General features: G+C 40.9%; 1 protein-coding gene across 25 annotated transcripts in view, besides 1 other annotated feature; it reads left to right on the top strand.

Moving 5' to 3' along the window:
- Positions 5,778 to 6,012: a silencer, noted in NCBI's record as "fragment chr20:45142238-45142472 (GRCh37/hg19 assembly coordinates)". NCBI's record gives its function as "represses an EF-1alpha promoter that drives an FKBP-Casp9 reporter gene in an ReSE screen in K562 erythroleukemia cells {active_cell/tissue: K562}" and the evidence as "EXISTENCE:reporter gene assay evidence [ECO:0000049][PMID:32094911]".
- ZNF334 (zinc finger protein 334) overlaps positions 6,052 to 15,221 on the top strand; it is a 51,247-nt gene continuing 42,077 nt past the window's right edge. For 2 of the 25 annotated variants that reach the window (NM_001353814.2, NM_001353820.2), the window contains exons 1-2: positions 6,052 to 7,071; positions 14,871 to 14,997. In NM_001353814.2, coding sequence (NP_001340743.1) covers positions 14,964 to 14,997 — 34 coding nt within the window. In that variant the 5' untranslated portion in view covers positions 6,052 to 7,071; positions 14,871 to 14,963. Of the gene's footprint in view, positions 10,057 to 13,152; positions 14,998 to 15,221 lie in introns of all 25 variants that reach the window. The other 23 variants (NM_001353825.2, NM_001353819.2, NM_001353817.2 and 20 more) reach the window with 23 other exon arrangements.

Raw genomic sequence — 15,221 nt, 5'->3', positions numbered from 1 at the left:
CTGTCTGGATCAGATCCTGTTTTGATCAGCAGGGTTGTGACCAGAAAACAAGCCCTGTTGGTCTTCTACCTCAGAGAGAGGTGGGATTTGAAGCTCTGTGGAAATAAGAGTCATTCCGGATTCTGAATGACCCTGATAAGAAAAGAAGGAATCAGGGGCCAGGCCCCTGAAAGCTGGGCTGGCAGGACTCACAAGGGGCAGGATGGTGTGTGTGACAAAATTGTTTTGGGTACCAGGGACCTTGCAACAGGGAGAGGTTGTGATACCTCCAGACTCAGAGAGACCTCCAGTGTGGGAAGCAAGTCTTTCTCCTCCTCATTTACTTTAGCTCTGGAACACCTTATAATTCTCTTCGCCTCACACTATGCTTCAAGTGTTCTTCCCCTTCCTCCTCTGCACCACCCTTTGGAGCACTGTCCAAATATCTCTTCCCAGAAGAAGCGCTCTCTAACCCACAGACATTGTCTACTCCTGTATTATGTGAATTTCTCCTTTGTAGCCTTTACTACATTTTAAATTAAATAATCTTTTGCAGTATCAGGTTTTTTTGTATATCTCATCAACTAAAATGTAGATTTGAGTGGAGGTCACTAAAAAAAAGCTTGCAGGGAAATCTAGAACCTTAAATTCTTTTTTTTTTTTTTTTATGAGAGGAAGTCTCACTCTGTCACCCAGGCTGAGTGCAGTGGTGTGACCTCAGCTCACTGCAATCTCTGCCTCCTGGGTTCGAGCGATTGTCCTGTCTCAGCCTCCCAAGTAGCTGGGATTACAGGTGCCCACCACCACGCCTGGCTAATTTTTATATTTTTAGTAGAGACAGGGTTTTACCACGTTGGCCAGGCTGGTCTAGAACTCCTGACCTCAGGTGATCCACCTGCCTCAGGCTCCCAAAATGCTGAGATTATAGGTGTGAGCCACTGCACCCAGCCTTAAATTCTTATATTGACTGTGTCTAACTGAAGATGTTAAAATAAGAACAGGATAATTTAAAAAATCTATTTATTAATTAATTAATTTATTTATTCTGAGACCAGCTTATGAGACTGGATAATTTTTGTATTTTTGGTAGAGACAGGGTTTCACCATGTTGCCAGGGCTGGTCTCCAACTCCTGGGCTCAAGTGATCCACCCACCTCAGCCTCCCAAAGTGCTGGGATTACAGGTGTGAGCCATGTGCCCAGCAAAGAACAGAATAATTTTTTAATGATGAGGAAGAACATAATGCAGATAAAAGGAAGCAATCAATGAAATAGCAAAAAGAAACAATAGAAAGGATTAACCAAACCAAAAGCTAATTTTTTTTAAGTATTAACACAGCCTCCTGCTGTTTGGCCGGGTTCCTAACAGGCCACAGACCACTTCACACATCCTTATAAAGCTCAGGTGCAAGCACACTGACACCTGGATTACAGCAAAAGACCCTGAAGCACAGACAGAACCCATCTGAACCATGCCCAGATAGTCAATGTAGCTGGTATGCTAAATAGCACATCTTAAGAAATAATTTTTAAGTAGCAAATTTTAGTCTTCCACCACTCTTTAAACTTTTTTGAGGGAATCTCCCACTGGATAAAAACTCAGCAGAATCCAAGGTTTTCTGCTTCCTTTGAGGATAGACAGACCTGCAGTCATTTACCATAAACATAGTATCTATTTAGTAATTAGAATACCAGGACCTAGATATTGACCCTACAATCTTCATCCAAAGTGAATAAATGAAGATTACTTCAACTCTCTAATCTTCAAGTCAATCTTCATTTGCTTCCTCTTCCGGCTGAAACAGAAATACTAGGAAGAGAGAGGGCAGGGTACAGTGTAAGATGTCATGTACATGTTATGTAAAATGCATACAGTGCCTGGGTTATAGAGTTTATTTGGGAGGTGATTCCAGGAAGCAGGGATGAGAGACTGGAGATAATGAGATAAAGAAGGAGAAACGCCAATGTAAGCAGGTGAAAGTAAGGTCCCTGCTATGGACAACAGGGATTTGATTCTTCCAATAACTCTGAGAAGCATATGGAATGCTCCCAGAATTGTCTCCTGGAGGACTAAATGTTAAGACATTTGTTCATCATTATTTCCAGTGGAACTGTCTGCCACCTCCAAGACCCAAGATCTCTATCCCAACAAAGTTAGGAACCGGGCCGCACAGCAAGAGGTAAGCAGCAGGCAAGAGAGCACTACTGCCTGAGCTCCGCCTCCTGTAAGATCAGCGGTAGCATTAGACCTCATACAAGTGGGAACCCTATTGTGAACTGCGCACGTGAGGGATGTAGGTTGTACACTCCTTACGATAATCTAATGCCCCCCAACCCTGTCCATGGAAAAATTGTCTTCCATGTAACTGGTCCCTGGTGCCATAAAGTCTGGGGACCACTGCTCTATGGGATCAATTAATCCTACCATACAAGGCATCAGCCTAAAACAGCCATCCTGATAGAAGTATGATATTGCTTAGTAAAGGCTCAGCTAAGGCAGAGGTTTTGGAATGACACCCTAAGAGTTTTGGGTGTTGTCCACCAGGATGTAGCTTATGTATGGAACCAGTGGCTGATATATGCTATTGTATCCTCAAGTGGCTGGAAACGAAGTGATGACAGTAGAATTAACCTGTTTCATCATCACTCCCACTTTCTGAATTTGTGCTTTCCATCCCTGTAACTTTTATTATTTATTTATTTATTGAGAGTCTCGCTCTGTCACCCAGGCTTGAAGAATTGGAAATTTTGTTTATTTAATAAAATTTCTGTTAAAATAGTGGCAAATTTTGGTGCTTTCTTTGCTTTTTTTTGGTTTCCCTTCACAGAGTATTTAAAATACATCCAGAAAATCTTAGAAAAAGCAGATTAATGTTAATATGTATGAAATTTCTTTAATTTGTAAAAAGTTAAATTCTGGTTCCTTGCAGGAACATGTATAGACAAGAGGTATGTAAGAATTTAGATGACATTGCAAAGCAGTGGGCAAAAAATGATGTTTTCAATAAATCATATCAAGACAAGTAGTTATATCTGAAAAAATATGAAAATTATATTTGTAATTCAAATATTACATCAAATAAATTAAAAATGGCTACTTATATTCTATCTTCACCTTCACATTGCTGGTAGACATTTGGTTGCTTCCCTCCACCTTTTTAAAAGTTATTATGATTGGCTGGGCGTGGTGGCTCACGCCTATAATCGCAGCACTTTAGGAGGCTGAGGTGGGCAGGTCACTTGAGGTCAGGAGTTCCCAATATGGTGAAATCCCGTCTCTACTAAAAATACGAAAATTAGCCGGGCATGGTGGCGGGCACCTGTAATCCCAGCTTTTTGGGAGGCTGAGACAGGAGAATCACTTGAACCCAGGAGGTGGAGGTTACAGTGAGCCAAGATTGCACCATTGCACTCCAGCCTGGGCATTGCAGCAAGACTCCATCTACAAAAAAAAAGATTATGATTAAAATCATTACGAGGAACATTCTTGATATGCATCTTTTTGTACTGATTTAATTATTTGATTAAGATGTTCCTAGAAGCTGAGTTGCTGGAATAAAGGACATGCAATCTTCAATTTTGGTACAGAATGTCTACTAGAAATGTCATAGGAATTATACTCCCACCCAACCTGTCTGGGAACAAATATTTTTTCCAAATTCATGCCAATACTTTATTATTCCGTTTAATCTTTGCCAAATTAGTCTGCCAAAAAAGTACGTAATCAAAAACTTTTTGCATTTCTTTGCTCTAGAGTATTATTGGCCATTACCTCATATGTATAGTTATGGCTCTTTTACAATTCTTCTATATTAATTGTCTTATTCATGTTCTTTTTTCATTTTTTAAACAAATTTGAATCCTCATCTTTACTGATTTCTAAGAGCTGTTAATAAATTGAGTCTATTTCCAATCCTTCTCATATATATGAAACCACTTTATTTTCTCCATTTATTTCTTTTTAAATCTATTTTTTTCTGAAGCAAGATTTTTTCAATTTTTCATAGCCAAATTGATCAATACTTTTCTCTACAGTGTCACTTTTACATGGCAATGAAAATAAGATAGAAAAATGTTCCCAATTACAAAAGTAGCAAAACATTTGAGACTATCTAAACTTGAATGAATAGAAATATATTCAATTTTCTTGATGACTAGGAAACTTTGCTTTAATAAATTTCAGTAAAAGAGCTTCCCTAGCAAGTAATGCAAAAATCACTTAGTCTGTGAGTTTGCTTTTAACATTTCAAATTATATGTCAATGTGAAATATATTGATTATAATGTGTGAGATGGGAATCTTAGTTTTTTACTCCAAATGGTTAGTGAGTTGTCCCACATCACTTTTTCAATAATCTATTTAACAATAAGCCTTTCTCAATGATTTGAAATGGCAGCTTTTCATATTATATTCTTGGAAATCATCTTTTGTTGGTGCTTAGCTAGCTATTGCTGTGTAACAAACCACCCAAAACTTAGAGGCTTAAAATAATAAAATTCATTATTTCTTGTAGTCTGTATGTTTACTGGCATCAGCTATATGATTTCATCTGGAGCTGAAGTCATCCAGGAACTTCACTGGCCTAGAATGTTCACTCATATGTCTGATGTCTCTAGGCAAGGATGACTGGAAGGCTGGGATAGCTGCATTGCTAGGAAAGATGGGCCTCTCTTTTTCCATGTGGTCTCAGGGCCTCTCACTTCCTACTTCTCCTGGTTTCTCCACTTGGTCTAACAGGTTAACTGCATGTCTTACACAGCGTCTAAGGACTCTTCAAAGGGCAAAGCTGAAGCTGCCAGGACTTTGTATGGCTTATTTCTGGAACTGGCACAGTGTGACTTCTGACGCATTCTTTTGGTTAAAGAGAGTCACAGAGTCAGTCAAAGTCAACGTGGGAGGGAAATATACAAGCCTGGAATACTGGGAAGTTTAGTTCATTGGGGGCCATCTTTGAAGACTAGCTACCACCAGTCGCTAATTGTTCTTTTCTGGAATTGAATAATAATACATTATAACTTTGTCAGAAACTTTCATGCCTTCCAATGAGTAAAGTTTTATAAAGTTCTATTTATTCAATATGTATACAATTCATATACAGTCATGCATAATATAAGAATGTTCCAGTCAACGATGTACTGCATATACAACTGTGGTCTCATAAGATTACAATACTGTACGTTTACTGCACCTTCCCTATGTTTAGATATGTTTACATACACAAATACCATTGTGTTACCATTGCATATGGTATTCAGGACAGTGACATGCCACACAGGCCTGTAGCCTAGGAGAAATAGGCTATACCATACAGCCTAGGTGTGTAGTAGACTATATTGTCTAGATTTGTGTAAGAACCCTCCATGATGTTCACACAAAGACGAGATTGCCTAAAGACACATTTCTCAGAGTGTATCCCCATCGTTAAACCATGCATGATTGTATGTATTTTCCTTGTGGATGTAAAACTATTTTCTATATTACTCACAATGTATATGAGATAATTCGTGGTATTAAAGTATATTAACTATATTGCTAATTTAAAAAATAACAAATTACTAGACCTATATGAGTTCCTCTTTGTAAAGCTGTCAGAAGAATGTGCACCTAATGTTAAACTCGGATATCTCTGGGAATTGGGGTTACGGCTAATAGTTCATTTTCTTCAGAGATATTCTGATTTATTTTCAACCTTCACGTATTGAAAGCCAGCAATGATTTTGTATCCTGTTTGGGAGAAATTTTCTGCAGGTCGTTAGTATTATATTCTGCTGGAATATCTTTAGCAGTCATTTTCATTTCGCAGAATTTTCCTTTCTCATCTATAGACTTCGGTGAAACGGATATGAAACTTTACTTTTCGTATTGATGATTCACAGCAGTCACCTAAACTCTGTAGTTAAAGCAGAAGCTCCTCAAAGATCCCTCAGGGTAGGGCGGTGGCCGCGACGCCTTCTGGGGACTGTGGTCCGGAAAGCCGGCGGGGGGCCCGGGAGAGCCCCGGGAAAGGCGGCCCGGGGGCCTTTCTGCGCATGTGCTGTTCCTGTTTTTTACCTGGACGCCCTTCCGGTTCGCCAGGCTCTTCCGGGTGAGGGTCCTGCAGCCCGTGAATCCCTGGTCCCGCCGAGACTTGGACCTGGTGCGAACTGGAGGCGAAGCGGGTGCACCCACAACCTATAGGAAGGGCTGGCGGCGAGCTCTGAGCACTCGGGCGTCGGAGGGAACGGTGGGGCCGGGCGGAGCGGGCCTCGGGTCTGCGGAGGGTGGACGCGCGCTCTCCCTGTCTTTGGAGGGAGGGTTTCCTGTGGTCGGGAGGCGAGGCAGCCAGGGCAGGATTGGGCTCCTGACCTGCAGGCCACGGGCGAGCTCTCTCTAGGGCCCTGATTTGCCCGAAGAAGGCGCTTGGTGAAGGTGAAAGGTTTACGCATCCAAGTAGCTAGAACCTCTTTCCAGAACTTCTGCTGATGCACTTAGTCTTGCAGCCATTGATTATTATAGCTCAGCAAAGTTCAGTTCAACTTTCGGAAGAAGGATGTGAGCTGGAATGGGCAGGGTCAAGATTTGACAGGAAAAGACACTTCACTGGAGGTATCTGCGAGAGTCCTGGGTTGGAGGGAAGGAGTACTGGTTATAAATAAGGAAATGATGTCTTCATCACTTCCTAAACACATACATGTCATTCCCTACCATCTCCACCCTCTGTTTATTCAGAGCTGCACCAACCATGTTCATCACCTCACCTGGGATTTACTGAGTTTACCCCTTACAGAGCTACACGATAGGGGTAAAGGAAAGACTAAAAACCAATTTATCTTATATTAAAATTACGACTTAGTAAATATTTTTTTCAGTAATGCAGTTTGCTAGTGACAGATCCAATAACTGAATTCTGGTCCTTTGAGTACCAGGTCAGGGCTTTTGTCATCTACCACATTTACGTTACCTACCACAAGAAGTTTCTTAGTAAAAGGTCCTCTTGTGAAACTGCAGCTAAGGGAAACCAAACTGTCAAAAAGACAAACACCTTAAAGCACTTTCATTCATTCTCTCTGGATTCTGTCATCTCAAGTGGCTAAACACATTAGTAGGAAAACAGGTAAGTGACATAATATCATTTTCCTATTCCAAGAAATCTTTTAATCCTAGAGTCCATTTTAATGCCAAAATAGTGTTCCAGGCTTTGTATATACTAACTTTCGTTGACCTAGTCTCCTATTAATTGGACTCAGACGTTTTCAATTTTTTTCAAAGGAGGCATAGATTGACAGTAATTCAGTAGAAAACATTTGTTGACACTCACTCAGTAAGAAAAGCTCTATGAGACCATTCTAGAACTATAAATGGACAAGTGAACGTTTCCTCAACATGTTGCTTCCTGAACCAGACTGGTCAAAGGGCCATGTTTTTAAATGGGTGTGTGGCTTTGTAGGTAATTGTAGAGCTGCTGTGTGAGCCAAATCGCTCATGATTCCATTCGCCATTCTTCCTTACCCAGCTCTGCTTTCAACACTCTTGGCCCTTTCTCAAGAGAACATGAAAATGAAAAAATTTCAGGTAAGTTGCTCAGGGATTTACTTCTCACATTATACAGTGAATTTCAAGAGGTTTAGAGTAGTTTGCAGATGAAACGAAATGTATAAAATTCAGCATCAGAGAAGAGTATTCGATCAATACTGGAAAAGTGGACATAGATATACAGAAATCATATATTCCTATAGAGTTACTCAAATGGTTCCAGAAAGGCCCAGACAATATGAGATAGCCCTTACACTGGATTTTTGTGTGGTTTTCCCATCATTTATATCTAAAAATTTTCTTGGATGATCTTTGAGTAAGTGAAGTAGAGACAGTTCTGCCAAAAACAGCTGAGAAAGAAATGGTATGGGTTTCCTGTGACTTCTATACCCAGGCAGAGCACAGTAATTACAGGGAACCAATCCAGTGTCATCCGAACAGGCAGCATTCTGATGGTTCTCTGTGATGTCTATGATCCAGTGATAAGACCTAGAATAAATGGATAAAACCTATAACAAATAAAATAGTGTTCCTCAAATAATGCCCCATAACTTTATTTCAGCTATACTTATAAAACAAGTTCTAGAGGGAACAATTCAATATTATATTCTGTAGGTAAAACTTCTTCATGTGCCTGTCTCATTTCAACCCACTTGATACAGTCTGGTGTCTGCCCCCACCACTCTGATGGATCTGTTCTGGAAAAATTTAGCAGTAACCTAAATATTTTCAAACCCAATGAGTATCTTTCAGTTCATACTTTACCAAACTCTTTGTTGCATTTGACAGTATGACTGCCCCCTCCCTAATAGGCACCTCTGATAATGTCTGTGGTATCACTCACATGATTCTCTTTGTAGCTCTGTAATCATGTCTTTTTTTTTTTTTTTTAATTGAGATGAGGTCTCACTATGTTGCCCAGGCTGGTCTCGAACTCCTGGGTTCAAGTGATCCTCCCACCTTGGCCTCCCAAAGTGCACTGATTACAGCTGTGAGCTGCCACACCCAGCTTGTAATCATGTCTTCTTTATATCTTTTATACAATCTTTTGTTTCATGAACATTGCTATGCCATTGTTAGCCCATTATTCTTTCTGATTTTTTTTCATGCCCTTTGTGGTTTTAACTTGTGAGTCTTTATGCTCTGAGGTATTTCTGCCTCTGAGGACCTCAGCTTGAGATTCTTGCTGAACATCTCTGTAAGGATGTCCAGAAGGCACATGGAGTCCTCATATCCAACATGGAAATAATACTTACAACTTGCTCAATGTGCTGCTGCTTCTTTTTTCCCTATCAGTGCTGCTTCCATCTGACCAGCGAGACAAGCCAGAAAATGAAGGCCATCTTTTTTTTTTTTTTTTTTTGAAATGGGCTCTCACTCTATCACCCAGGCTGGAGTGCAGTGGCACGATCTCAGCTCACTGCAAACTCTGCCTCCCGGGTTCACACCATTCTCCTGCCTCAGCCTCCCAGGTTCACACCATTCTCCTGCCTCAGCCTCCCGAGTAGCTGGGACTACAGGCACCCGCCACCACGCCTGGCTAATTTTTTGTATTTTTTAGTAGAGACGGGGTTTCGCCATGTTAGCCAGGATGGTCTCAATCTCCTGACCTCGTGATCCTCCTGCCTCGGCCTCACTAAGTGCTGGGATTACAGGCGTGAGCCATCGCGCCCGGCCTGAAGTCCATCTTAATTCTCCTTTTCCTCACGTCCTACCATACCTGTTTGTCGAGCTTGCTAATGTTGTCACATAAACATTTCTTGAATTTGTCCTTTCACTTCCATCTCCTCCTCTCCTGCCTCAGTTTCTCGTGGGTTGTCATAATATTAGTAGCTTTCTCAGCAGTCTGCTTGGCCCCTTCCTCTTCCCACCTCAAGGCTGTTCTTCACACTGACCAATTCCTCCAAAATGCCAACGTGATCATGTCTTAATACAGAAATGACTTAAGAGGTTCCACGCCACTTGCAGAATACAAGTTCAGCATCCTTGGTATGACCTGTAAGGCTATGTATGTCATGACCGTTTCCTGCCTCTTCTCAGTTCCTACCACTCTGGACCTTTCATTCAACAACTGTATATTGATCAAACAATTGTGTGTGATACGCTATGCTAGATGGTCTACATTCAGCTTGAATGAAGGAGATACTGTCTCTGTCCTCATGGAGCTCATGTGCTAGTGAAAGAGAAAGATATTACACAAGCAATTCAAACTGTGCTGAGGTGGTTCTCAACTCTGCCAGACCCATATCTTTTTACAGAACATACTTTCTTAGGAGCTATATTGGGATGCAAACCTTCCATATTCTGCCATCCCCTTTATCTCTCTTAGTTAATGCCACCCACCCACACCAGGCTGCCTCCTGTTTTAGACTTGGATGAAACCACACACCATGAGGTGTGGTACCAGCTTCCTGAGGGGCCAGATGGTGGAGCCAGATGATGCAACCTGGAAGTGTGCGCAAGTTAACTCACCGTGGGTGAACCTTGAATGAAGGGAAATGGAAAATGAGAAGGAGGTGGGCAGATGAATTCCCCATCCTTTCTCTATTCTGTGCACTATTTCAAGGTTAGTTTCTCCTGGTGGTCCTCCCAGAGATGTCCCATGTGCTGACCCACGTGCTGACCCCATGCTCCTGCTGAGGAAACTTGCCCCTCTTTGGGGCTTGTAGTGAGTTGGTGGGCAGCATGCTAATGCCTCTCATATCTCATTGTTTACATCCTTTCTTTCCTCCCTTCCTTACTTCCCTCACCCTCACTACCCCGGCTTGGAGTTCCCAGATGGAATGATGCAGACCAAGTCCTTGCCTTAGGATCTGTTTTCTAGAAATCCCAACTAAAAGCCATCCTCCCTTTATCCTATTTTGGAGATCATAGATAATACAACTTACTTGTGTAATTTTTAAAAAAATCAATAGAACTCGAATATAGAGGAAAAATAAAAAAGTAATTAAAAATGATATGTATCTTAATATAGACTTGCCCAGATAAAACTATAGTAAAAGAAGAGGAGTCTGGTGTTTATACAGATTACTTTTAGGTTAAATTTCTATGAACGTGATAATTACAAGTTCTCACTGATATGGGACTGATGTGTCATGATTCAAATACTGTACATAGCATTGCCATTTGTGATATTTTTCAAGAGTGAAAATCCCTGAAGTTCCAGTTCAAATCAAATACAAATTGTGCTTGATGTATCCACTATTACATTGAAGAAAATTTAATATACATAAAAAATATATAAAAATACTATGTGTTCAAGTGCCAAATGGAATAAGGTTCTAGGCTCAGATCATTATAAACAGGATTTTTCGTTTATATGAATATTTAAGATTAGAAAGTTATACAGGACTTGGGACATTTCTTTCCTGTAGGAGAAGGTCCTGCATGTTGCAGTGTCTCTACCATCCTTCCTTCCCTCTCCTTCCACCAAATGCCAACAGCATCCCACAGAACCCTGACAGGCAAAAATGTCTCCGCAGATGTGCCACATGCCCCTGATGGAAGGGACCACCCACATTGAGCCCCTCTGAAGAACGATGGTGGTCTGCATTTAGTCTCCTGAACATGCCCCAAATTTTACACTCTTGCTTTTAACCGTGTTTCTACTGTTTGCTCCTTGACTTTCTACCCCTTTTCTGCCTACATTGTGAACATAGCCAGGAGCCATCTCGTCACAGGACCCATTCCTGTCCTCATATTCTTTGTCCACAGACTATGTGTTTACAGAGCAATGCTGGCCCTCTTCTTTGCATTACATGTAGGGTCTGGTCATTATCTGTCTACCTCACAAGTAAGACTATTAGCCTTTAAAGGTGTAGGCACATGTCCTCAGTAGCCATATCCCTGCTCATAGTAGTACTCATCATTTCTTTTTTTGGGTAATCTTGTTTTGTGTGAAATGGTGAACTCTCCTCTGCTCTGAATGGATCATCATTCTACTTACAGTATTGCTTGCAGAATGGACCTGAGTCACCGGGAGAATCGAGTTTCTTTTTCTTTTGTCATAAGCACCTTTCAGTTTCTCACAAAGTGAACACATTTCACTGTTCTTACTTTGGACTTTCTGCTATGAAGTGCACTGGGTCTGCCTGAGCAAGTACAGAACTTTCTAGTGAGGGCTCTTCCCTGGCACTCTTTCTCCCTGGCGTTTTGTTTCTAATATTTTTGCCAGTCATTCTTTCTAGTCATTAAGACCTTATATGTCTATTGTTGTGCCTATAATTATGAGATACTCTTTATCTTCAGGAAGCTTATAGGTCCTTCAGAGGAAGTAATTCATGGAAGAAATAAAATGGATAATGTAACTACTTCTGGTTTAAGAGACAGTTAAGTGGTGATAGCGGGAAAGGCCTCATTAAATTACCTAATAAAATTTGTCAGTAGAAAGATGTATAGCAGATCAAAGAAAAGAAAGACGGGTGACCTAGGATGGTCATGTGGGTGAGGTGAGACATACAGCAGGCCAAAGCCCAGGTGTCTGCAGAGGTGGAGGCAGCATGCCTATTTTTTACTGCTTTATTTTTAAATACGAAGAATGAGAAAAATCATACACAAAATACCTGTGTTTCCTTCACCTCGCTTCCCCTGATCTTTCAAAACTATATTATAGTGATCAGAACCAGGAAATTCACATGAATACAGTATTATTATCTATCGTATTCAAATTCTGCTTATTATTTTCCATAATATCCTTTTTCAGTTCAAGGATCCAACCTAGGAACCCAGGTTGTGTTAAATGTCCTGTCTCCTTAGCCTCTTGCAACCCACGATGGTCCTTCTTTGTCACTTACAACCTTGACACTTTGCTGGCTAGTTATTTTGCAGGGTTCATCCTAGCCTTTTCTTTATTTCCTTTCCCCTTCCCCTTCCCTTTCCCTTGTTTTTCCTTTGTTTTCTTTTCCTTGTCTTTCCTCCCTCCCTTCATTTCTCCTTTCTTTTCCTTTCCTCTTTCTTTTCTTTCTTTCCTTTTTACTTACTTAAGCTTATTTAACTTACTTAATTTTTGAAACTGGGTTTTGCTCTGTTACCCAGGCTGGAGTGCAGTGGTGCAATCATAGCTCACTAAAGTCTTGACCTCCTCAGCTCAAGCAATCCTCCTGCCTTAGCCTTCCAAGTAGCTGGGACTACAGGCATGTGCCACCACTCCTGGCAAAAAAAAAAAAATTTTTTTGAGAGATGGGGTCTCACTATGTTGCCTAGGCTGGTCTTGAACTCCTGAGTTCAAGCGATCCTCCCACCTCAGCCTCCCGAAGTGCTGTGATTACAGGCATGAGGCACCACGCCTGGCCTACCATAGTTCTAAGAATCAAAACCGTATAGAAAGATATTTTAGAGAAGTGTCACTCCTTCTCATCTCTTCTACTCTGTTCCCATCCGTCCATTCTTTCCGTCTGTCTCCACCTCTCCCCTGAATGTAACCAGTTTCATGAGTTTCTGGTGTATCCTTTCCATAATTTTTTTTCACATGTAGTGGTTACATGTGGGTTTTTTTGTTTTTTTGAGATGAGGTCTTGCACTGTCACCCAGGCTGCTGGAGTACAGTGGCACAATCTGAGCTCACTGCAACCTCTGACTCCCAGACTCAAGTGATCCTCTTGCCTCAGCCACCCGAGTAGCACATGCCACCATGCCTGGCTAATTTTTTTTTATTTTTTTGTAGAGATGGGGTTTTGCCGTGTTGCCCAGACTGATCTTGAGCTTCTGAGCTCCAGCGATCAGCCTACCTCAACCTCTCAGAGTGCTGGGATTATAGGTGTGCGCCACCACACCTGGCCATGTGTGTTTTCTTACATCTCCTTTCTTACATAAAAGGTAATATATTATAGATATTCTTTAATACTTTGCTTTTTTCACTTCATATCAGTTCATGGAGACCTTCCTCATTATTTATGCTTTCAAATATTGCTTCTGATCACTGTGGTATCTCTCCTGTGAGCTCCAGAACCATATATCAAACTGCCAGCTAGATATCTGTACTTCTTTACTCAACAGACACTTCAAGCACAGCATGGTAAAGATCAGTGCCTTCATTTCCTATGCTCGATTCTCTTTTTTGTTTTGTTTTCCTAATCTCCACATATACTACTAGCGTCAGCCCAGCTGATCATGTGAAATAATATGCACATTACATCTACTGCACATCAAGTAGTGGTCAACTCTCCTTGCCTCCCGTTATGTAGGACTGATTCTCTCCTTCCCATTTCCCAGGAACTACCTGTGCTCATGTCCTGTAGTAGTGTCTTAGTTTTCTTCCCTTCTAATTTGACCTTTAAGCCAGTTTCCATTTTTCTAGAGTAGGGGACAGCAAATGTTTTCTTTAGAGGACAAGGTCAAAATTTTTGGCTTTGCTGGCCCTGTGGTCTCTGTTGGATTTCCTTGGCACAGCTGTTGTGACATGAAAGCAGTCATAGACTGTGTGTAACAAATGAGCGTGACCACGTTTGGCTCCCAGTGGCCTAGATTTTGCCCACGGACTGAAGTTTGCCAACTCTTATGCTCTAGAGCATTGTTTCAAAATACACATTTGGTCACAAATCTCCAGTCCTTGCTTACAAATAACTCTTTATGGATTTCCATTATTTATAACAGTGATCTCCAAAGTGGAGGATAGGGAGCACCCCAGCAATTCACTGGACTTCTATTCTTGTATTTCAGCCAAAAGAATGAAAAAATAATTAAGCTTTATTGATATTAGTGTATAGCTGGAACTCACTTGGAAATATACTACAATTCCTAAGTAAATGTACGTTAGCGTATATGCAAGAATGTTTTACTGATGTGCCGTACTATCTAAATTTCAAGACTACTAATTAGAGAAAAGAGTTCCTCTATTCTCTGACCTCTGTCCCGCTCCTCACTAACCTTTCCTGTGGAGAGATTGTAGTTCTCGAACTCCCCATATGTGTTTTGTGTCTGTGTATATTCTTAATGGCTACAGTCCTATAAAACATACTGTTTATATTTCAGGACTAAAATTATTATGCTCTCAAGGAAGGGGTAACAAAAATGGAGCAAGCTTTCTTCTTTTGTGATCACCCTTCATCTTGTGTATATGTCCAGCATTGCTCTTTAAAGATGTACATTTCTATTTTTGTCACCCTGTCAGAATGTATGCTCCTAAAGAGTAAGATTAGTATTTTATGTGATTAGTAATCCAGGCAATTGGAATAGCTCCAGGACATGGTATAAGCTCAGCACATTTTTAAAATTCATTTTAAAAAATGAACACAGTGACAGATTTTTAATTTTCTGCCCTCCCACAATTACATCTCTCTATAGCTTTCCATTAGCCATGGCAGTGGTCTTCTTATAGTTTATGTTACCATACATTTGATATCACTCAATTTTGGTCACCCAAGATTAAACATTTTCTTTCAGATACCAGTTTCATTCCAGGACCTGACTGTGAACTTCACCCAAGAGGAATGGCAGCAACTGGACCCTGCTCAGAGGCTCCTGTACAGGGATGTGATGCTGGAGAACTACAGCAACTTGGTCTCTGTGGGTAAGGACTATTTCCCTGTACAACTCCCAAGAGCATACATTTCTTCTGTGTTACAAAAACATGTTGATTTCTAGAATTTATTTAGCCCTGAGCATCAGGGGAGCAAGAAGATTAAACCCTTTTAGACAGTAGAAGTTTGTGTATGTATTCACTGCCCTTCCCCTACCCTTCACCAAAATGTTCTAGCTTTACTGAGCTATTGCTGGGCATCTTCATTGCACAGC

Source organism: Homo sapiens, chromosome 20, assembly GCF_000001405.40.
Source record: "Homo sapiens chromosome 20, GRCh38.p14 Primary Assembly".
Classification (NCBI taxonomy): domain Eukaryota; kingdom Metazoa; phylum Chordata; class Mammalia; order Primates; family Hominidae; genus Homo; species Homo sapiens.
Note: the sequence above shows the minus strand (reverse complement) of the source record. Positions and strands in the feature narration are given on the sequence as shown.